Source organism: Homo sapiens, chromosome 8 (assembly GCF_000001405.40).
Source record: "Homo sapiens chromosome 8, GRCh38.p14 Primary Assembly".
Classification (NCBI taxonomy): domain Eukaryota; kingdom Metazoa; phylum Chordata; class Mammalia; order Primates; family Hominidae; genus Homo; species Homo sapiens.
This window is the reverse complement of record NC_000008.11, coordinates 51,012,083-51,015,988: the sequence shown is the minus strand read 5'-3', so window position 1 is coordinate 51,015,988 and position 3,906 is coordinate 51,012,083. Positions and strand designations below refer to the sequence as shown.

At 34.2% G+C, this 3,906-nt stretch overlaps 1 non-coding gene across 1 annotated transcript; it reads right to left on the bottom strand.

Annotated features, from left to right (window-relative positions):
* Positions 1-823: 823 nt before the first annotated feature.
* Positions 824-968, bottom strand: LOC124902078 (small nucleolar RNA SNORA7). The gene has a single exon (XR_007061203.1). It is a non-coding gene; the product is annotated as a small nucleolar RNA SNORA7 (small nucleolar RNA).
* Positions 969-3,906: the final 2,938 nt, after the last annotated feature.

Here is a 3,906-nt window from a genome sequence, read left to right as displayed (position 1 = left end):
TAAAGTGTCAGTGTTTCCTCAATTACATTCCTCACTGAGCACTATCTCAGCCTTTATTTCTGTCCTGGGGCCTCCTGAGCCTGCTAAAAGTAAGCCCTTGGCCTATCTCCACCCCCTAAAAAAATGACCTTTAGTGCTCTGCTGACCTTCTGTGCTCTCTACCAGGAGTACACAAACATCATGGCCTTTCCCCTCCTTATTTTATCTGGCAGTTTTAGTTGTTCTCAGTGGCAATGTTGGTACAAAGTACCTATAATGCCATTACCAGAAGGAGTAAGTCTGTAATTTCCCTCATCTTCAAGGTGTCCTACACATTGCACAGGTAAGTAATTATAAAGTGTGGTGAAAGAAGAAAATCAGGGCTCTGTAATAATAATAATTGTGTTGATGGAAGTGACCTGGCTGATGTAATAGCAAAAGTGGTGGCAATTTATGTTTACCAGGGAATACTTTTTAAAAAATTCTTTCCAGTAAAAGTCTCCTCTGGCATGTCCAACATCACAGTTCAGAAAATTTTCCCTGGACAATCTTACATCATGTTTACACCTGTATTTGGGTTCTCTAGAGGGACAGAAATAATGGAATATATATACATATATATAATTATTATTTCATTGCATGTAATATATATATAATTCATATATATAAAATTCATATATATAATTCATATTTTATATAAAATTCAGGGAATTATATAATTATATAAAATTCAGGGAATTATATAAAATTCAGGGAAACAATTGTTAAGGGAATTTATCACTACCAGACTGGCTCCGTAAGAGATGCTTAAGGGAGTTCTTTTTTGTTTGTTCATCTGATTTGACATTGTTGCAGAATGTCTTCCAACTGCCAGATCTGGAGCAAGCTGGGAATGGAATGAATGCCTCTGCTTTCATGAAGGTTTGCTTTCCCTTCCTTCTGAAGGTGGCAGAATACTGGGCACTCGCCAGACACAATCCCAGGAGATTAAGAGTTCTAAACATGAAAATGAAAGAACAATACTTGCTACCATAAAAGCACATGCAAGCACATAGCCCAGAGACCCTGTAAAGCAACTACACCATCAAGACTACAAAACACATAGCTAACAACACCATGACAGAAACAAAACCTCACATGTTAATATTGATCTTGAATATAAAATGGCCCAAACACTCCACTTAACAGACACAGAGTGGAAATTGTATTTAGAAAACAAGACCCATTCTTCTGCTACCTTCAAGAGACCCATCTCACATGTAATAATACTCAAAGGCTCAAAGTAAAGAGATGGAAATGGAAAACCATTTACTTTTGTTTTCCATAGCAGACAAATGGAAAACAAAAAAGAGCAGGGGTCATTATTACTCTATCAGATAAAATAGGATTTAAACCAACAACAGTAAAAAAAGGACAAATAAGGGCATTACATGATGATACAGGGTTCAATTCAAGAAGACCTAACTCTCCTGAATATTTACACACCTAACATCAAAGCACACAGATTCATAAAACACTTATCTCTAGACAAAAGACTTTGATAGGCACGCAATAATAGTGGGATACTTTAACACCCCACTAACAGCATTAGACAGATTATCAAGGCAGAATACTAACAAATAAATTCTGGACTTTAATTTGAGACTTGACCATTTGGACCTAAGAGGCATCTATAGAATAATCCACCCAACAACCACAGAATATACCTTCTTCCTGTCTGCACATGGAACATTCTTTAAAATTGACCACATGATCTGTCATAAAGCAAGTCTCAACGAATTTGAAAAATTGAAATTATATCAAGCATCTTCTCAGACTCTACTGGAATGACAATAGAAATCAATAACAAGAGGAACTTTCAAAACCACAAATACGTAGAAACTAAACAATTTACTCCTGAGTGATTTTTGCATAAACAACAAAATTAAAGCAGAGACAGAAAAATTTATTTGAAACAAATGCAAATACAGAAACAACTTACAAAATTGTCTAGTATGCAGCAAAAGCAGTCTTAAGAGGAAAGTTATAGGTCTAGAGGACCACATCAAGAAGGTAGAAAGATCTCAAATTCACAACTTAACCTCACACCTAAAGCAACTAGAAAAACGAGAACGAACTAAACCCAAAACTATCAGAATAAAAGAAATAACTAAAATAAGAGCAGAACTAAATGAAATTGGTATCAAAAGAATACAAAGGATAAATAAAATGAAAACTCTGTTTTTTGAAAGAATAAATAAGATTTATAGACTGAAGCTAATTAGATTAACAAAGAATAAAGGAGAAGATCCAAATAAGCAGAATCAGACATGACAAAGGTGACATCACAGTCGATTTCACAGAAATACAGAATATCCTCAGAGACCTACTAGGTACCTCTATGTACACAAACTAGAAAATCTAAAGGAAATGGATCAATTCTTAGGTGCACACAACCCCTCCCAATATTAAACTAGGAAGAAACTGATATCTCAAACAGAATAATAATGATAATGAAATTGAATCAGTAATAAAAACCTACCAGCCAAAAAAAGCCTTGTGGATTAGCTGGATTCACAGCCAAATTCTATCAGATGTACAAAGAAGTGTTGGTACCTGTCCTACTAATATTATTCAACAAAATCGAGAAGGAAGGACTCTTCCCTAATTCATTCAACAACACCAGTATCATATGATATCAAGATCTGTCAAAGACACAACAAAAAGAAAACTACAGGCCAATATTTCAGATTAACACAGGAGAAATCTTTGAAAAATACTGACAAACTGAATCCAACAGCACATCAAAAAGTTAATTCACCATAATCAAGTGGGCTTTATTCTTGAAATGCAAGGATATTTCAACATATGCAAATTAATAAATGTGATTCACCACATAAACATATTTAAAAACAAAAATCATAGGAACATCCCAATAGACATGGAATAAACATTAAACAAAATCCAATATCCCTTCATGATTAAACCCACAACAAACCAGGCATTGAAGGAACATACCTAAAAATAATGAGGCATTTATGACTAACCCACAGCCAACATCATACTGAATGAACAAAAGCTGGAAGCATTCCTCTTAAGAACTGGAGCAAGACAAGAATGTCTATATCACCACTGCTATTCAACATATTACTGGTAGTCCCAGCCAGAGCAATCAGAAAACAGAAAAAAATAGAAGCATCAAAATAAGAAAAGAGAAAGTCAAATTATCTCCCTTTACTGATGATATGATTGTATACCTAGAAAATCCTAAAAGTTCTACCAAAAGACTCCTAAATCTAATAAATTATTTCAACAAAGTCTCAGGATACAAAATCAGCTCACAAAAATAAGTGGTATTTCTATACACTTGTTATAAGTGTATATCACTTGTAATTAGCTTATTATAAGCTTGAATGTTATATTCAAGCTGAGAACCCAATTAAGAATGCAATCCTATTCATAATAGCTAGAAAAAAGTACCTAGGAATACATCTAACCTAGGAGATGCGACATCTCTATGAGGAGAACTACAAAACAAACACTGCTGAAAGAAATCACAGTTGACACAAACAAATGAAAAATCATTTCATGCAAATGGATTGGAAGAATCAATATTGTTAAATGTTCATACTGCTGAAAGCAATATACAGAATCAACACTATTCTTATCAAACTAATAATGTCAGTTTTTACAGAATTAAAAAAAAACCTAACATTTATATGGAATCAAAACAGAGTCTGAGTAGCTGAGGCAATCTAATGCCAAAAGTGTAAAGCCAGAGGCATCAAATTATTTGACATTAAACTATACTACGCGACTGCAGTAATCAAAGCATCATGGTACTGATACAAAAGCGGACAGATAGAGAAATGGAACAGAATAGAGACCCCTGAAACAAAGCAGCAACTCTCCAACCAAACCATCTTTGGAAAAGTCAACAAAAATAAA